Here is a 19,460-nt window from a genome sequence, read left to right on the forward strand (position 1 = left end):
CAGGATGGGCCCAGGTAAGCATGGACCATTCCTTCACGATGGAGTCAGGTAATTGTGGACCATTCCTCAGGATGAGCGCAGGTAAGCATGCACGATTCCCTCAGGATGGAGACAGATAAGTATGGACCATTCATTCAGGCTGCAGCCAGGTCAGAATGAACCATTATTTCAGTATAAAGCCGTGTCAGAATGAACCATTATTTCAGGATAAAGCCAGGTAAGTATGGACCATTTCTTCATGAGGCAGCCAGGTAAGCACAGACTTTTCCTTCAGGATACAGCCAGGTAAATGTGAACAATTCCTTTAGTTTGGAGCTAGATAAGCATTAACAATATTTTTCAGAATGCTGCCAGGTAAGCATGAACCATTCCTTCAGGATGAAGCCAGGTAAGTGTGGACCATTTTTTGAGGATACAGCCAAGTAAGTATGATACATATCTGCAGGATACAGCCAGGTGAGCATAGACCATTCCCTCAGGATGAATCCAGGTAAGCATAGACCATTCCTTCAGGATGTAGCTAGGTAAGCATGAACCATTCTTTCCGGATGGTGCTGTGTGATTGTGGACCATTCCTTCAAAATGGAGTCAGGTAAGCATGGACCATTTTTTCAGGATGCAGCAAGATAAGCGTGGCCGTTCCTTCAGGATGCAGCTATGTAAGCAGGGACGATTTTTTCAGGATGCAGCCATGTGAGCAGGGAAAATTTCTTCAGGATGGACTCAGGTAAGCATGGACCATTCTATCAGGATGCAGCCAGGTAAGCATGGACCATTTCTTCAGGGTGCAGGAAGGTAAGCATGGACAATTCCTTCAGTATGGAGCCAGGTAAGCGTGGACCATTCTTTCAGGATGCAGCCAGGAAAGCATGGACCATTTTCAAGGATACAGCCAGGTAAGTATGATACATGCCTTCAGGATACAGCCAAGTAATCATGAATCATTCCTTCAGGATGCAGCCATGTAGGCAGAGACCATTCCTTCAGGTTGGAGCCAGGTAAGCATGAACCGTTCCTTCAGGATGAAGGCAGGTAAGCATGGAGAATTACTTCAAGATGGAGCCTGGTAAGTATGGACCATTCCTTCAGGATGGAACCAGGTCAGCATAGACCATTTCTTCAGGATGCAGACAGGTCAATATGAACCATTCTTTCAGGATGCAGCCAAGTAAGCATGGACCATTTCTTGAGAATGGAGCCTGGAAAGCATGGACCGTTCCTTCAGATTGCAGCCAGGTAAACAAGAACTATTCCTTCACGATGAATCCAGGTAAGCATGGACCATTCCTTCATGATGGAACCACGTAAGGATGGACCATTTCTTCAGAATGCAGCCAGGTAAGCCTGAACCATTTCTTCACCATGGAGAGAAGTAAGCATGGACCATTCCTTCAGGATGGAGTCAGGTAAGCATGAACCATTCTTTCAGGGTAAATGCAGGTAAGTATGGATCTGTCTTTCATCATGTGGCCTCGTAAGCATGGACCATTCCTTCAGGATGGAACCAGGTAAGCATGAGCCATTGCTTTTGGATGCAGCCAGGTAAGTACAAAACATTCCTTCAGGATGCAGCCAGGTAAGCATGAACTTTTCATTCATGGTGTAGGCAGGAACGCATGGACCATTTTTTAAGGATGGACTCAGGTAAACATGGACCATTCCTTCCAAATGGAGCGTGGTAAGCATGGATCATTCATTCAGGATGCAGCCAGGTCAACACGAAACATTTTTTCTGGATGGAGCCAGGTAAGCATGGACCATTCCATCAGGATGCAGCCAGATAAGTATGGACAATTCCTTCAGGATGGAGCCAGGTAAGCATGAAAAATTCCTCCATGATGCAGCCAGGTAAGCGTGGACCATTTCTTCAGGATGCAGCCAGGTAAGCATGGACCATTCCGTCAGTATGTAGCCACATAAGCATGGACCACTCCTTCAAGATGGAGCCAGGTAAGAGTGGACCATTCCTTCAGGATGCAGTCAGGTAAGCAGGGACCATTTTTTTCAGGATGCAGGCAGGAAAGTATGAACCATTCCTTTAGGATGCAGCCAGGTAAGTGTGCACAATTCCTTCAGGATGGAGCCAGGTTAGCATGAACCATGTTTTCCAGACTGTAGCCAGGTAAGCATGGACCATTATTTCAGGATGCAGCCAGGTAAGTATGAACCATGTTTTTCAGACTCTAGCCAGATAAGTATGGACCATTCTTTCAGGATGCAGCCAGGTAAGCATGGACCATGCTTTCAGATGGAATCAGATAAGCATGTAACATTCCTTTAGAATGCAGCCAGGTAAGTGCGGACTATTCCCTCAGGATGGAGCCAGGTAAGCCTGGACCATTCTGTCAGGATGTAGCCTGGTAAGCATGAATCATTTCTTAAGGATGGAGTCAGACAAGCACACCCCATTCCTTCAGAGTGCAGCTAGGTAAGTGTGGACCATTCCCTCAAGATGGAGCCAGGTAAGTGTGGACCATTCCTTCAGAATGCAGCCAGGTATGCAGAGACCATTTTTTTCAGGATGCAGGCAAGAAAGTATGAACCATTCCTTCAGGATGCAGCCAGGTAAGTGTGCACAGTTTCTTCAGGATGGAGCCAGGTTAGCATGAACCATATTTTTCAAATGTGGCCAGGTAAGCATGAACATTTCTTTCAGGATGCAGCCAAGTAAGTATGAACCATTTCTTCAGTATGGAGCCAGGTAAGCATAGACTATTCTTTCAGGATGCAGCCAGGAAAGCAATGACCAGTTTTTAAAGATACAGCCAGGTAATTATGATACATACCTTCAGGATGCAGCCAGGTAAGCATGAACCATTTTTTCAGGATGTATCCAGGTGTGCATAGACCACTCCTTCAGGATGTGGCCAGGTAGGCGTGGACCATTTTTTCAGGACCAAGCCAGGTAAGCAGGAATCATTCTTTAAGGATGCAGCAAGGTAAGTATGGACCATTCCTTCAGAATGCAGACAGGTAGGAGTAGATCATTTATTGAGGATGCAGCCAGGTAATCAGGAACCATTTCTTCAGGATCCAACCAGGTAAGCATGACCCATTCCTTCAAGATGGAGCCAGGTAACTGTCAACAATCCCTTCAGGTTGCAACTGGGTAAGCATGGACCATTCCTTCAGGATGGAGCCTGCCAAGTGTGGACCATTCCTTCAGGATGCAGCCAGGTAAGCATCAGCCATTCCTTCATAATGCGGCCAGGTAAGCATGGACCATTCCTTCAGGATGGAGCCTGCCAAGTGTGGACCATTCCTTCAGGATGCAGCCAGGTAAGCATCAGCCATTCCTTCATAATGCAGCCAGGTAAGCATCAGCCATTCCTTCATAATGCAGTCAGGTAAGCATGGACCATTCCTTCAGGATGGAGCCTGCCAAGTGTGGACCGTTCCTTCAGGATACCGCCAGGTAAGCATCAGCCATTCCTTCATAATGCGGCCAGGTAAGCATGGACCATTCCTTCAGGATGCCGCCAGGTAAGCCTGAACCATTCCTTCAGAATGCATCCAGGTAAGCATGGACCAGTTTTTAAGTATACAGTCAGTTAAGTATGACACATACCCTCAGGATACAGCCAGGTAAGCATGAACCATTCCTTCAGGATGCCACCAGGTAAGCATGAACCATTCCATCAGGATGGAGCCAGATAAGTATGAACCATTCCATCAGGATGCAGCAAGGTAAACATGGACTAATCTGTCAGGATGCAGTCGGGTAAGCATGAACCATTTCTTAATAGTGGAGTCAGGTAAGCACATACCATTCCTTTAGAATGCAGCCAGTTAAGCATGGATCATTCCTTTAGGATGTAGCCAGGTAAGCATGGACCATTCTTTTAGCACGGAACCAGGTAAGAATGGACCATTCTTTAGCATGGAACCAGGTAAGCATGGACCATTCCTTCAGGATGAAGCTAGGTAATAATGGACCATTCATTCAGGATGCATCCTGGTAAGTATGAATTATTCCTTCAGGATGCAACCAGGTAAGTATGGCCATTCCTTCAGGAAGGAGCCAGGTAAGCAGGAACAATTCTTTCAGGATGGAACAAGGTAAGCATGCACTATTCCTTCAGAAAGCAGTGAGGTTAGCATGGATCATTCCTTCAGGATGCAAACAGGTACGTGTGGGCATTCCTTCAGGATGTAGCCAGGTAAGCAGGGACCATTTTTTTCAGGATGCAGGCAGGAAAGTATGAACCTTTCCTCGGGATGCAGCCAGGTAAGTCTGGACACTTCCTTCAGGATGGAGCCAGGTAAGCATGAACCATTTTTTCAGAATGTGGCCAGGTAAGCATGAACTTTTCCTTTAGGGTGGAGCCTGGTAAGCATGGACCACTCCCTCAGGATTCATCCAGGTAAGCCTGGACCATTCCTTCAGGATGGTGTGAGGTAAGCATGGACAGTTCCTTCAGGATGCAGGCAGGTAAGCGTGGACCATTCCTCCTGGATACAGCTAGGCAAATATGAACCATTCCTTCAAGATGGAGGCTGGTAGGCATGGACCACTGCTTCAGGATGCAGGCAGGTAAGTGTGGACCATTCCTTCAGTATGGAGCCAGGTAAGTGTGGACCATTTCTTCAGGATGGTGCCAGGTAACCAGGGACCATTCTTTCAGGATACAGCCAGGAAAGGATGGACCATTTTTTAAGGATACAGCCACATAAATACGATACATACTTTCAGGATAAAGCCAGGTAAGCATGAACCATTCCTTCAGAATGCAGCCATGTAGGCAGAGACCAACCCTTCAGGTTGGAGCCAGGTAAGCATGAACCATTCCTCCATGATGAAGCCAGTTAAGCATAGGCAATTCCTTTAGGATGGAGCCAGGTAAGCATGGGCCATTCTTTCAGAATGCAGTCAGGTAAGCATGAACCATTCCTTCAGGATCCTGCCAGGTAAGCGTGGACCATTATTTCAGGATGCAGTCAGGTAAGCATGAACCATTCCTTCAGGATCCTGCCATGTAAGCGTGGACCATTATTTCAGGATGCAGTCAGGTAAGCATGAACCATTACTTCAGAATGGAGCCAGGTAGGCATGGACCATTCCTTCATGATGCAGCCAGGTAAGCATGAACCATTACTTCACCGTGGAGTGAGGTAAACATGAACCAATCCTTCAGGATGAATCCTGATAAGTATGGACCTTTCTTTTAGGGTGTAGCCTCATAAGAGTGGACCACTCCTTCAGGATGGACCCAGGTAAGTGTCAACCATTCCTTCCTAATGCAGCATGGTAAGCATGGATCACTCATTCAGGATGCAGCCAGGTAAGTACAAAACATTCCTTCTGGATGGAGCCAGGTAAGCATGGACCATTCTGTCAGGATGCAGCCACGTAAGCATGAACCATTTCTTCAGGATGGAGTCAGAAAAGCATGTACCATTTTTTCAGAATGCAGCCAGGTAACTGTGGACGATTCCCTCAGGATGGAGCCAAGTAAGCATGGACCATTCTCTCAGCATGGAGCCAGGTAAGCATGGACCATTCCTTAAGAATGGAGCCAGGTAAGCATGAACCATTTCATCAGGATGCAGCCAGGTAAGCATGAACCATTCTGTCAGGATACAGCCAGGTAAGGGTGGACCATTCTGTCAGGATACAGCCAGGTAAGCATGGACCATTCTTTCAGATGGTGTCAGGTAAGCATGAACCATTCTGTCAGGATGCAGCCAGGTAAACATGGGCCGTTCCATCAGGATGCAGCCCTGTAAGTGTGAACCATTTCTTAAGAATGGAGCCAGGTAAGCAGGGACCATTTTTTCAGGATGCAGTCAGAAACTATGAACCATCCCCTCAGGATGGAGCCAGGTAAGCATGGACCATTCCTTCAGGATGCAGCCAGGTAAGTAAGAACCATTCTTTCAGTACAGAAGCAAGCAAGCATGGACCATTCCTTCAGGATGCAGCCAGGTAAACATAGACCATTCCTTCAGGATAGTGCCAGGTAGGTGTGGATCTTCCTTCAGGACGGAGCCAGGTAAGCATGGACCATTCCTTCAGGATGCAGCCAGGTCAGCATGGACCATTCCTTCAGGATAGTGCCAGGTAGGTGTGGATCTTCCTTCAGGACAGAGCCAGGTAAGCATGGACCATTCCTTCAGGATGCAGCCAGGTAAGCATGGACCATTCCTTCAGGATAGTGCCAGGTAGGTGTGGATCTTCCTTCAGGACGGAGCCAGGTAAGCATGGACCATTCCTTCAGGATGCAGCCAGGTAAACATAGACCATTCCTTCAGGATAGTGCCAGGTAGGTGTGGATCTTTCCTTCAGGACGGAGCCAGGTAAGCATGGACCATTCCTTCAGGATGCAGCCAGGTAAGCATGGACCATTCCTTCAGGATAGTGCCAGGTAGGTGTGGATCTTCCTTCAGGACGGAGCCAGGTAAGCATGGACCATTCCTTCAGGATGCAGCCAGGTAAGCATGGACCATTCCTTCAGGATAGTGCCAGATAGGTGTGGATCTTTCCTTCAGGACGGAGCCAGGTAAGCATGGACCATTCCTTCAGGATGCAGCCAGGTAAGCATGGACCATTCCTTCAGGATAGTGCCAGGTAGGTGTGGACATTTCCTTCAGGATGGAGCCAGGTAAGTGCGGACCATTCCATCAGGATGCAACTTGGTAAGCATGAGCCATTTCTTAAGGATGGAGTCAGATAAGCATGTAGCATTCCTTCTGAATGCAGCCAGCTAAGTGTGGGCCATTCCTTCAGGATGCAGCCAGGTAAGCATGGACCATTCCTTCTGGATGGAGGTAGGTACGTATGCACCTTTTTTTCAGGATGGAGTCCGGTAAGCATGGACCATTCCTTCAGGATGGAGCCAGGTAAGCATGGACTACTTCCTCAGGATGGAGTCGGATAAGCATGGCCCTCTCCTGGATGCAGCCAGGTAAGGGTGGACCGTTCCTTCAAGATGGAGCCATCAAACATGCAGATCACCCCACAGCACCCTTGCTCCAGTTGACTGGGTTTGGTAACATGGTGGCAAAATCAAAAACTTGTAAACTAGTAGAAAAACGTTTTTTAGCTCATGAGTCCTCTTCAGGCCAAGCTCAGAAGCTGGTGCCATTGGTCAGCCTCCCTTCGTGGTTGGAGTTCTTCTCCCACATCAGCTTCTGCCAGGGCGTGTGCCTGTGCAGCCCGAGTCCAGTGTTCCTGTGAGCTGAACTTGGCAGGGAAGGCTGCTCTGAGGCGGACACCACAGCAACATCGGTGCCTGGGGAACTTCAGATCCAAGGGCACCTGAAGACCTAGTATCCACACGGCTCCCTTCTCCTGTAACCCACCACGATGTGGGCGGCCTCGAAGAAGGCCCACGAGCAACATACCGAGTGCTCCAGGGAAGCGAGAGCACACACCGGGTAAGGGCTCGAGGCAGAGGTGAGCGAGCCAGGGCTGGAAAACTAAAGGTGACGTGAGCACAAGATAATGACAGTGCAGTTCCTAGAACAGCATGGAAGACACTGCCTCAAGACAAATATTTTTTGAATTCCTAATGGAAAAATGGCATTTCTTTTATTTATTTTTATGTATTTTTGAGTGTTAACAAATAGTTCTAGTGATAATTAGCATCTTTGTATATTTATTGAAAACCAGCACTAAATCTGTATATTTACAGAAAAATGCCTTAGACATAGAAATAGCACAATTCCATGTTTGTGAATTGACAGCTTCCTCTAAACATAGAGTAGAGATTCAGCAATTATCACTACAGCTGTTTGTTAACATTTGACAATAGATAAATAATGACTAGAAATCAATCTTTTCATTAAAATTCAAGAAACAAAAAGTATCTAAAGGAATTTCATTATTCCTTTGAAAAGTCCAGGCTAGTCTTGAGGAGGCTCCTCTACATACGTTGTGGTGTTTCCATGTTCATGGGCCCAAAGTGGTCTTTTTTCCTACAAATGTGTAGCAAAATAAAAGTGAAGATCTGAGATCATATCAGAGAGGGTAGAGGTGATGTGGGCCCTCCAGCCTCAACTCACCCACCCGCCTGCTTTCATTCAATCGAAGGCTCAGGCAACACACACACATGCACACACACGCATGCACATGTACACACATGCACACACACGCACATGTACACAAATGCAATGCACATACACACACACAAATGCACACACGCACACAATTCCCATACACACGGACACACACACCGTATACACTCATGCATATGCACACATATTTGCACACATGCATACACACACATTCACACACACATGTGCATGCAGTCACATGCAAAATACATGCACATGCTTGCACACTGTCACACACACATGCACACTCACACACACAATCAGTACTTGTGTCAAAATCCTCACATGGCTGTTCTTTCTACCCATTGGACCAGCAAATGTGTTCTTGTCCCAAGTAACCTGAGCCCCTCCAAAAAAAACAAAAAAAAAGAAACACCACTGATTTATGTTTTAGATCTTAATTCATCAAAAACACTGAGCTAGGCCAGGCATGGTAGTGAGCTTCTGTAGTCCCAGCTACTCAGGAAGCTGAGCCACAATAATCACTTGAACCCAGGAGGCAGAGGTTGCAGTGAGCCAAGATCGCGCCACTGCACTCCAGTCTGGGTGACAGAGCAAGACACTGAAGGAAAGGAGAGGAAAGGACAGGAAAGGGGAAAGAAATGGAAAGGGAAGGATAGGAGAGGGGAGGAGAGGGGAAGAGAGGAGAGGTGAGGGGAGGGGAGTTAGATATGATCTGTGCCTGAGAATTAATTTGGTTTTCTTACAAACCAAAAGGCAGGATTCACAATCAAGACAAGGTGATGATGGACAGGCATGCACACATGAGCACGTGGAGCACACAGTGTGTTTGGCTGCAGGAGAAGAATCCAGTTTTCAGCAGGTGAATGCAGAGAAGCCCTGCTGCTCAGGACAAAGAATGTTTCCAGAATGAACCATGTTTGCAGCTCTCCATTGCCCAGGATGAGCGGCGTCCCCAGGTGCCTGGCCCTTTTATCACCCAGGCTGATGGTACATCCAGAGGCAGCCATGGCTCAGCCCCCAAGCAAGGCCAGCAATGGCCGGGAAGAAGCTTATTCAATGGGATTCTCTGCAGAGTTGTTCTGACTTTCAGCTTGCAGGGATGTGGGCATAGAAAACAAGAGGCTGACTTCTCAATCAATCGTCACTTAAGGATGCAGAGCCAGTGGAAGCCCTTTCTTTCATGACTTTTAGCATTTTTTCTTCATTTTCAGAAAATCCACACCATCTCCATATATGCATGCACGCATGAGTGTCCGTCCGCCCCCTAACTGTGGGGTTAAGAATCATGTGACTGCTCATGCTGGAAAAACAAGACAATCACCATCATAAAAGCCCACATCATTTACAGATCTTGGAACTTGAACTTTCTTTAAAAGATAAATATAGTAGTTTACATTTTGGAGCTGGAGACATTGTCTTCCTTTCTCTTTTCCCCTTCCACCCTTCTCAAGTATACTTGCCTTTATTTTGAATGAGAAACAGGCAACGGGGGGGTGCCACCTCACACAAAGAAAAAGGCAATTATTTAGAAACTGCGCAGTCAAAAAGTCAGAAGTGTCTAAAAGCACAGTGAGTCCCCCTGTTCATGGCATGGATGCCCTGTCCACTGATGGCACAGCCACACTGCTGGTGCCTGGGTAGCACCTGCCTCCTTGAGCGATGGTCACTGAAGCAAACCCCACTGTCTGTAGATGCCGTTAGCATCCCCCTCATGAGGTCTGCTCTGTGAGAAGGTCGGTCAGTGAGTGGCAGCACTGGGCAGTGATGAGGAGGACCCTGAGTGGGTGTGGGGCGTCGCCTGGATATTAGCTGTGGGTCAGGTAGACACAGAGAAGATGCTGGTGGGCTAGGCACATGTATCCACCCAGAAGATGAATCTGGTTTTGATCGAAAGTCTTCATAGAGAGAAGAACACTTGGATTTGTTTTGGGGAAGGCTTCCCTGTTAGGATGTAGACGGGGACAGATGTACTGTGACTGCTAGTCCAGGAGACAGATGCTGAGTGAGTGAGGTTTGGATGTCTCGCGTGCCCTGGGCTGGAGGCTGAGATTTCCACGTTAGGTAGGACATGTGTCAGCCGCAGGGACTCACCGGCAGTAGGAGTTTATAGAGAGGGATTTCTGTTGAAGTCATTCACTTCCTCATTTACCTCCATCCCCATATTTGCAATCTTGACTGGGTCCCTGATGACTGCATCCTAGAGTCCCAATTTCCTGAGTTAGAGTACTTCATTTGTAAGCAAAAGTAACCCAGTTCAAGCTGGCATAGGAAAGAAGCAGAAGGCATTCAACGCGGCTGCAGGCATGGATGGCTCCAAGCGTGTAGCAGTGGCAATGCCTTCAGTGGTCCTTGGCTCTGCGTTGGCTGGGCTGGCTTCCTCAGGCGGGAGCATCGCACACTGTGAAGGTGACCATGGCATGCCCTGTGCTGGGGGTGGGCAGCAGGAAGCATCCACCACAGGCACTGAACCTGTAGGGCGCCCAAACCAACAGCCAGCCCCATGGTGGCACTCCACGCGTGGGGGGCCAGGAAGCCTTTAAAATCTCGTTCCAAAACTGACTTAATGACCCAGAAAGCGCAAGTCGGTAAATAGCAATGAAAAAGCAGGCACAACTATTGACAATTGCAAAGACATGGAATCAGCCTATGTGCCCATCAATGGTAGGCTGGATAAAGAAAATGTGGTACATATACACCATGGCCTACTACGCAGCCATAGCAAGGAATGAGATCATGTCCTTTTCAGGAACATGGATGGAGCTGGAAGCCATTATCCTCAGCAAACTAATGCAGGAAGAGAAAACCAAACACCGCATGTTCTCACTTATAAGTGGGAGCCGAATGATGAGAACACATGGACACACTATGGGGAACAACACACTGAGGCCTGTCGGAGGGTGGGGCATGGAGGGACAGAGACCATCAGGAAGAATAGCTGAGGGATGCTGGCTTCATACCTAGGTGACGGGATGGTCTGTGCAGCAAACCTCCATGGCACGTGTTTACCTTTGCAACAAACCTGCACACCCTGCACGTGTACCCTGGAACTTAAAAGCTGAAGGAAAAAAGAAAAGTAAAAGCAGGCACAAATCTTTCTCTCTCTATGCCACACACATGCACACACACACACACACACACAGATTTATAAAAGCAAGTACAAATTGGACATGCGTGGACTCTGCACTGCAGCCATGAGGTGGGATTCTCTCTGCAGAAGAACAGAGAATTCTCTCTGGGTGTGGTCTGGCCTCAGAGCCGGTGTGTGCCATCATCCCTCCCTCCGCTTCCTGCCCCTGCAGATTCCTGCAGGCACTGGGGAGTGACTTCTCTGAGAAGTCTTGAGATCATGAAACCTGTGGTCTTGCCCAACACAGTTCCCAAACTCACTCGTGCCCAAGGCTTTATTTTGAAAGATGCCTATTTGATCTCCCAGAGCTCCAGCTCTGTGGAAAACCCCTTGGGAAGGCTGATCTAACCCAATCTCCCCACTCTACAGATGAGGACATTGAGGCCCCGAAGCATGGAGAGGCCTCTCCACGGATGCAGAGTGAGTGACTGAAGCTCTGGCTGGGTGTGTGTTCATCGCTTGACCCATCTTCCTGAGACCCACGGCTGCTGTCGTGGGTTGAATCATGTCCCCCAAAAAGATGTGTTCGAGTCTTAACCCATGGCACCTGGGGCTTTATATGGAAACGGGGTCCTTGCAGATATAACTGGTTAAGATGAGGTCACACTGAGTAGGGGGGGCCCTAATTCAATGGCCGATGTCTTTATTAAATGGGAAAACATGGACACAGACATGCGCAGAGGGAAGACAGCCATGCAGCAGCAGGGCCAGAGACAGGAGTGATGGGTTTACGAGCCAGGAGCGGCAAGGAGCTGGAAGAGGCGGCGAAAGGCTCCTCCCTGCGGGGCTCAGAGGGGCAGGGTCTCAGGCTTCCAGCCTCCTGCAGAGCTGGAGGTAAGAAACTCGTGCTGTCATATGCCACCTGGCGTGTGGCACTTTGTTACGACAGCCACAGGTGGGGGGCGAGGACCATCTGCTGAGGAAGCTTCATTTATACCGGGAGGGATGCGTGGAAACTGAACAGCCCCGCATCATCCCCCGCCGCCCCCACCCCTTTCTAGCCCCAGTCAGTCTAGGGAATAACAAAAACCTGTGATTCTAAAGCATCTTCCAAACCAGTAACGGGCCTCAGAGAGAGAGATGGGGACAGTCAGGAAACTTAGTCATATTAGTCATAATTCTAAAGAAAATTATCTTCCTGTTTGTTTTCAAAAATACCAGTTTTCTTCAAATATGAATATAAGCCTGATCAATTGGTTCATTATATTGAAATGTTCAGTTACGTACAATAATTATAATTAAGCACTGAAATCCAACTCAAACCAATCTATTTAAATGAACCCGAACCTACGAGAAAACATCAAACTCATGTTAAAAAAAAATGTAGGGTTAGAATATTCCGCAATCCTTTGAAGATATTATTTATAATCGTGCTTGGTAAATCAGAGAAACCCCTTAGAGCCCAAAGACAATGTCTAGCATAAAGCACTGTAGAAATAAAACCCTTTATATATTTTTTATAAAGCCTAAAATCAATCCTGACCCAGGCAGCAGTTTCTACATATTTAGATTTGGTTTGTTGCACCTTTAATGGAATGCTATCAATTTTCTGCCTTTTAGATGCTTGGGCAATTGAAGCATTTTAACACTGCTCTAGAATAAGTGCTTTCTGTGAGTTCATCCTCCAGTTCAAACAGAACTGCATTTCCTGGTAAAATTTTACCTCGTAATTATTACACTTTTTTTTATCATCTTCATGCCACAAGATGTGAAGTCCAAAATATTTATGTTCCCGATTGTCAGTCTTTCCTTCTTAGAGATGTCGAAGTGAAAACAAAATAGACAACTCATTTTGTTGAATCAATACAGGCGCATTATCACAGCAAGATTATAATTCAGGTGCACAAAACCTGCATTTTCAGAGTACAGCAAGGAAGTCGGGAGGTGCTAAGAGGCACAGCAGGTAACTAATATCAGTAAAGTGGCCCAGATCTGTGTTCAAACAACAGAATAGGGGGTCTAACTTCAACCCACAAAAATGACAAAAATCAGAGTGAAGCGCAGAGTCCGTCCCTGAACCCGCCCTGCCACGCGGCAGCCAGGGAGGGTGACCTGCTGTCGTCTGGGGTGGTGACGCTGCTTGGTGACCTCGCCACACGAAAGGACCATGATTCCTGCAGGGCGGAAGCAACCGATGAGCAGTAACAACTCTTCACGGGGACACAGACAGGTAACCGGGGCACAGGTGTCCTGAACACCGCGAGGCAGCCCCCTCCTCCGAGCTCCCTCTCTCTCTCCTCTCTCCTGCCGTGGCTCCCCCACTTCCTTCCTCCGTCGCAGCCACGGCCTCTGCATCTTGATGATCTCTTTTCCAGAAACAACGTTATAACGAAATAGAAGAAACCTCAGTCATCCACGGGGAAAGCAGTGCTTTCCAGCATTTAAGCGCATTTCTGAATGCACTGAGATACACGGCATTTGAATGTAAACTTTATGTCTATTTTGGCTTCCAGAGATCACTCTCTCTAGAGCTTAAACTACACAGAGTCTCCTACAATGAGTGAAGAACAGACCCCAAAACACAAAGCATTTTCCTGGCTGCCCACCCACCAGGCCTTCAGCATGCATAGCTCACTCTCAGGCCGAGAAACAGCACACGCGTGCAGACCCCAGCCTCGTTCCCTGCACCGCCCACCGGCACCTCCCCACGAGCCGGACCGAAGAGGGACCCGGTAGCCCATCGCAGCCTCTGACAGTGCTCAGGAGCAGACCACAGCCAAAAGTCCCAGTCACCCATGGAATTTGGAGGAGGTTAGAAATGTTTCTGTTGTATGATTTCAGGACATCAAGACGCTATTTTTAGGCGTGTGAGTCATCACAGTGTTCCCTGACAAGAGCCAGCCCCAGCACGTGCACGACACCCACAGCGATGGGCTCGTGGAAAACAAGCTCAGCCCGGCTCACGGTGCCCGGAGATCCACCTGGCACCCATCAGTGACCACAGTTCAGGGCGTCGGGTCTTGGCCTGAGCAAGGTGAGGGACAAAGTAGCCCCAGGCAGCAGGCAGGGAGAAGACATGTCCTCTGCCCTGGGAGCAGCAGCTTTGCCCTGTGAGGGCTACGTGGGGCCAGTGCCTCCTGCTCAGCCCAGGACACCCACGGCCGGGCACACAGAGGGCAGGTGCTCAATCCCCATCTCCTGGAGGCCTGGAGTCAGCGGGGCCTGGGGAGGCAGGGCAGATAGATAAGGCAGCCGCCCGGAGGGAACGGCCTCCCTAGAGCATCACACTCACCCCACCAGCACACACGAGCACACACGAGTGCAAAGGAGAGCACACACAAGCACAGAAGGGCACACGGGAGTATACGAGGGCACAGAAATGCATACAGAGCATGTGCAAGCACATGCGAGAGCACCCCCGTCATATTCCATAGCAGCCGGACACCCTGATACCCTCCTTGATGAAGCTTCGTGCCCATAGCCTGGGCCCTGGCTCTGAGGTGGCTTTGAGGACTGACTGGAAGCTCGCGTGCAGCACTGAGCTTCGCCTGGCACCACAGGTCCCTGAATAGCATCGCTACGTTCAGCATCCTTTCCTTAGAACACTGATGAAAAGAAATCTGGATTTGGGCAGAGCACTGACTGTGCTCAGGGGCGTGTCCCCCACATCTGCATGGTTCTCACCAGTTCACTGTACAGACAGCAGCCGCAGCCATAGACAGCACCAGGCCCTCCCACTGCTGTGTGATCCCCCAGGAGCCAGCCGCACAGCCAGCCCCTGCCCTCTGCCCCGCCCTGTGTCCCTGAGAGTGTCACTCACCTTTTCTCATCCTGTGGCTTGGGGAGGTTAGAAAATCTGATAGAAGGTTAGAAAACCTTCACGCACAGGTGCGATGGCTCACATCTGTAATCCCAGAGGCCGAGGCAGGTGGATCGCTTGAGGTCAGGAGTTCGAGACCAGCCTGGCCAACATGGCAAAACCCTGTCTCTATTAAAAATACAAAATTAGCCGGGCATGGTGATGGGCATCTGTAATCCCAGCTACTGGTGAGGCTGAGGCAGGAGAATCAGTTGAACTCAGGAGGCAGAGGTTGCAGTGAGCCAAGATCAGAGTGAGACTCTGTCTCAAAGAAAAGAAAAAAAAAATGAAAGTTTAGAAAAGCACACTTCCACAGCACGTGGCTTTAGTAGGGCTCTTCTACTGAAGGAGCACCCAGTGGCCAGGGCTGGAAATTTTAAACTAAGAACAATAATAGTAATAATAATAAATTCTATTCCATAGAATAGAATAAATATCCATGAGCTTAAGCTGATAAAAATAGGTAATCAAATAAGTACATAGGGTGGGGAGAGACAGCCCTTTCTCACAGGAGACTCCCAGTTACTCAGTGTGGAAGGAAAGAAGAAACGGGAAAAGCAGGAGCACCACCATTTGGCAAGCAGCACGGGAAGAAGCGTAGAAGGCAGTGTTCTCAAGGGAGCTGAGATCGGCAGGCAAAAGTATGAGAAACTGGCTATTTCCGTAGTCCCCAGATACCTTTTCATAAGACACCAAATCATGGCAAAGGGGAAAATCCCAAGCTGACAGGGGAGATGCCCGGCAGATGCCACCTACCTGTGTGGTCAAAGTTGCACCACCAGGAGTGAGGCTGGGGGACGTCACGTGCCTGCCGGGAGGCCCCAGAAGGACATTTGGCATTCTGGCCAAAAATGCATAATTTTAATTTATTCATGAAGAAACATCAGACGAACCCAAACAGAGGGGCATCCTATAAAATCAGCTCTCCAGAGCTGCCATGGTCATTGAAGAGGAATCTACAGGGAGGAAGAACTCCCCCAGCTGGGCAGCGACAAATGACACAGCAGCTAGAAGCAACCTGGGCCCTGAAATGGGTCTGGGACCAGAAAAGAGGCAATCACAGGGAAATTGGTAGCATTCACACAAGGCCTGTAGACCGGCTGGTAATAGTGTCATCTGCTATGTGACTGTAAGTTTAACACAATGAATTACGTAACCGCAGCCTTCAGGGAAGCTGGGTGGAGGGTAGGGCAGACACTTTATACTAGTTTTGCTATTTTTGCAACTCTTTTGTAAGCATGAGATTATTTCCAAGGTGTATTAGTCTGTTTTCACACTGCTATGAAGAAATACCCAAGACTGGGTACTTTATAAAGGAAAGAGGTTTAATTGACTCACAGTTCCTCATGGGTGGGGAGGCCTCAGGAAACTTACAATGACAGTGGAAGGCAAAGGGTAAGAAAGCACCTTCTTCACAAGGTGGCAGGAGAGAGAAGCGCAAAGGAGGAACTTCCAGACACTTATAAAACCATCAGCTCTCATGAGAACTCACTATGATGAGAACAGCATGGGGGAACTGCCTGTGCGATCCAATCACCTCCCTCCCTGGACACATAGGGATTACAGGTCAAGATGAGATTTGGGTGGGGACACAGAGCCAAACCATATCGCAAGGGAAAAGCTAAGAGACAAAGGAAGGCCACTGACTAATGGGCGTTCTTCACCATCCTTGCTCTGGATTTGTCTCACCAAGGGCGTTGCCCAAGCCAAACCCCCAAGTTGAGAAGCAGGACTTTCTGTGGTTTCATCTGCAGATGGAGTCCTTTCTCAGCCCCTGGCCTCACCTCCATTCGCCGGGGACCTCACAGGGACCTGGCCGGGCCATCCTGCTGGGACTTACTCTGCTTCAGGGCCCCATTAACTAAGGGCATCAGCGACTTGCCCTACACCAGCCCCTGGGTCCTTCTGTCCACCCTGCTCCACACAGGAGCATGACCTTCCTGGAAAACTATGATAGTGACCACCCTGCACATCTGATTTGCCTGCCTCCTCCAAGTGGATCCCATCCTCTGCCTGCAGCCTCCACCAAAAAGCCTGGCAGGAGTTCCCGAGTCCTGAGTTCTGAGCCAGGTGTTTTGATGTTTTTGCAGACTGGTTTTAAAGATTATGGGGTGAAAGCAAAACAAGAAGGAAGGAATGTTCTCTATGGACTTGCCTGTAGTCACTCAACAAAGCTGATGAACCCCAGGAGCTGCCCTCAGCTGCCCTGGGTGCAGAGGGTCCTGCTCCCACTCTCAGGCACAGAGTCTCAGGCCAAAGGGCTGAAGGCAGAGCTCGCTTTGTTCTGCCGGGGCTCAGAGTCTCCTGGGCACACTCCCCCAGCTCCATGCTCCCACTCAGGAGACCATCAGGGGATGACGGGCCAGGGGCAGGGCACGTACACTGCCACCTGGGGCATGGTGGCCGGTGCTCCCCAGAGGTATGAGGGGCACCAGAAAACGACTACAGGTGAATCAGGTGTGGGGAGAAGGTATTATTGTAAACATGTATACAATAATTTTTTTAGTTTTGTTGTTGTTGTTTGGAGATGGAGTCTCACTGTGTTGCCCAGGCTGGAGTGCAGTGGCACAATCTCAGCTCACTGCAGCCTCTGCCTCCTGGGTTCAAGTGATTCTCCTGCCTCAGCCTCCCATGTAGCTGGGATTATAGGCGCGCACCACCACGCCCGGCTAATTTTTGTATGTTTAGTAGAGATGGGGTTTTGCCATGTTGGCCAGGCTGGTCTCGAACTCCTGGCCACAGGTGATCCGCCCACCTCAGCCTCCCAAAGTGCTGAGATTATAGACATGAGCCACTGCACCGGGCCAAAACATGCTTTTTAAATCACAAAGGAAAGCCGTCAGGGATGCATGTTACATGCCCCATGTTTGCATACTTACCGGAGCAGCCCCTGACAGCGCATCCTGCGGCCCTCTTCAGTCTCACCCATGGCCGAGGACCTCACCCTCTGCCTGCCGCCCCCGGGACGTAGCCTCCCACCACCCGCTCACCCTCAGTCACACTCGGCTCCATGTGAGTGACGCCTCTTGGCTGGAAGCTTCCTGGGGTCACTGTCCACATGCCACGAGGCCCCATCCCCCCACCCCACCCTCCACATGCCACGAGGCCCCATCCCCCCACCCCACCCCACGGGGCCACCCTCTTCGAAGCTCCTTCAAACACACGCCCGCGCCCCCATCTGCTCTTTCTGGAAACGCACAGAACCCTCTGCGGGAACTCAGAATGGAGCACTCGGTTCTCCCGTCATGAACGAATTGTTCCTATTGGCGCTCAGAGCGAGTGTCTGTGTTGTGGGCAAAGAGCATTAGAAATGTGTCATGGAAAGAAGAGACTTCTAATTAAAGCCTCTAACAACAGGGCCAAGAAACCGAAGGTCACGGGCGAGGCGCTCACAGCCCCGCCTTCTGCATCTCTAGACGGAGTCTGCCGAGCCAGGCGCAGCCCTGGGACCTCAGGGACCGAGGTCGAGGCTCCGTCGCGGCCTCTGCTCCCACTCTGAACTCGCCGCCTGTGGGTGCCTCCTCTTCTCCCCATGCCCCTCCTCCGACCCCGGGCCCGTGTTCCTGGCGGCTTGCGCCCCACCTGCCGCGTGTGTGAGCTCGTCCCTGTCGCCACGCTCGAGGTGGCGGTGTGGCTGCGTCGGTTCTCGCCGCCTTTGAGCCGGCCCGGGCTGCGCGCAGCCTCCCGCGTGCCTGGAGAGGCGAGTGCTGCGGGCACCACCCCTGCGCCCCGAGACCCCGGGAAACTCCTGCCGCGCCCTCTTCTTGCACTTACTCGGAGCCTGTGAGGTGTGTTCGCGGGCTTTCTGGTGTCTGTGAAAGGAACCGGGGGGACATCGATCCGTTTCAAACACACGCCTGTGTCCGTGAGGAGTCCGAGAGGCAGAGCTGGAGCGTCGCCCGGAAGCTGCCCTCTGTGGCCATGAGCGGGTGTCCAGCCCCTTCCAAGGCTGCACCGGGGAGACGCTGGTTTTCTGCTCGCTGTGACCGAACAAAGCCCCTAAGAGTCAGTGCGCGGAACAGAAGAGCCGGACCCCGACGGGCCGAGTCCCAACGTGAGGCACCCGGCAGAGAAAACACGTTCACGGCCCCAGCCTTCCGCAGCCACAGAAGAACACGCACGGGGCCACGCGGCGTTCACAAGGGATTCATGGCTGTGTTTGAAGTTTTTTTTTTTTTTTTCTTTTTTTTTCCAGTGAGACAAGTTTTACTGAAAACTTTTCCTATCTGGCTCATCAGATCTCAGGCCGTCTCTGGTGGTTTTAGCTCCTTTAATTTAATTAACTTTAAAAGAGCTGGAGAGTATTAGTAAAATATACTCCCTGGTCACAACTCCACGAATGTTAACAACCTGTCCAATTACAGGGAAGGGGGTCCCGACCCCTCGCACCTGCTAATTAAAATTGCTAATCACCAGCAATTATCTGGCCGAGCTTTAGAAACCATTTGACCCTTCGCCCACCAAGGGAGCGATGTTTGCGGCCCCTCCCCGGAGCCGAGCCAAGCTGTCCCCAGC

At 49.8% G+C, this 19,460-nt stretch overlaps 2 long non-coding RNA genes across 2 annotated transcripts; one reads left to right on the top strand and one right to left on the bottom strand.

Annotated features, from left to right (window-relative positions):
• Positions 1-1,127: 1,127 nt before the first annotated feature.
• Positions 1,128-9,427, top strand: LINC01043 (long intergenic non-protein coding RNA 1043). The gene is made up of 2 exons (NR_135321.1): positions 1,128-7,377; positions 8,773-9,427. It is a non-coding gene; the product is annotated as a long intergenic non-protein coding RNA 1043 (long non-coding RNA).
• Positions 9,428-10,227: 800 nt separating this feature from the next.
• LINC01044 (long intergenic non-protein coding RNA 1044) lies at positions 10,228-18,886 on the bottom strand. Its single transcript, NR_126345.1, has 3 exons — positions 18,720-18,886; positions 14,907-15,206; positions 10,228-10,417 (listed from the first exon to the last, which is right to left on the bottom strand). It is a non-coding gene; the product is annotated as a long intergenic non-protein coding RNA 1044 (long non-coding RNA).
• Positions 18,887-19,460: the final 574 nt, after the last annotated feature.

Source organism: Homo sapiens, chromosome 13 (assembly GCF_000001405.40).
Source record: "Homo sapiens chromosome 13, GRCh38.p14 Primary Assembly".
Lineage (NCBI taxonomy): Eukaryota > Metazoa > Chordata > Mammalia > Primates > Hominidae > Homo > Homo sapiens.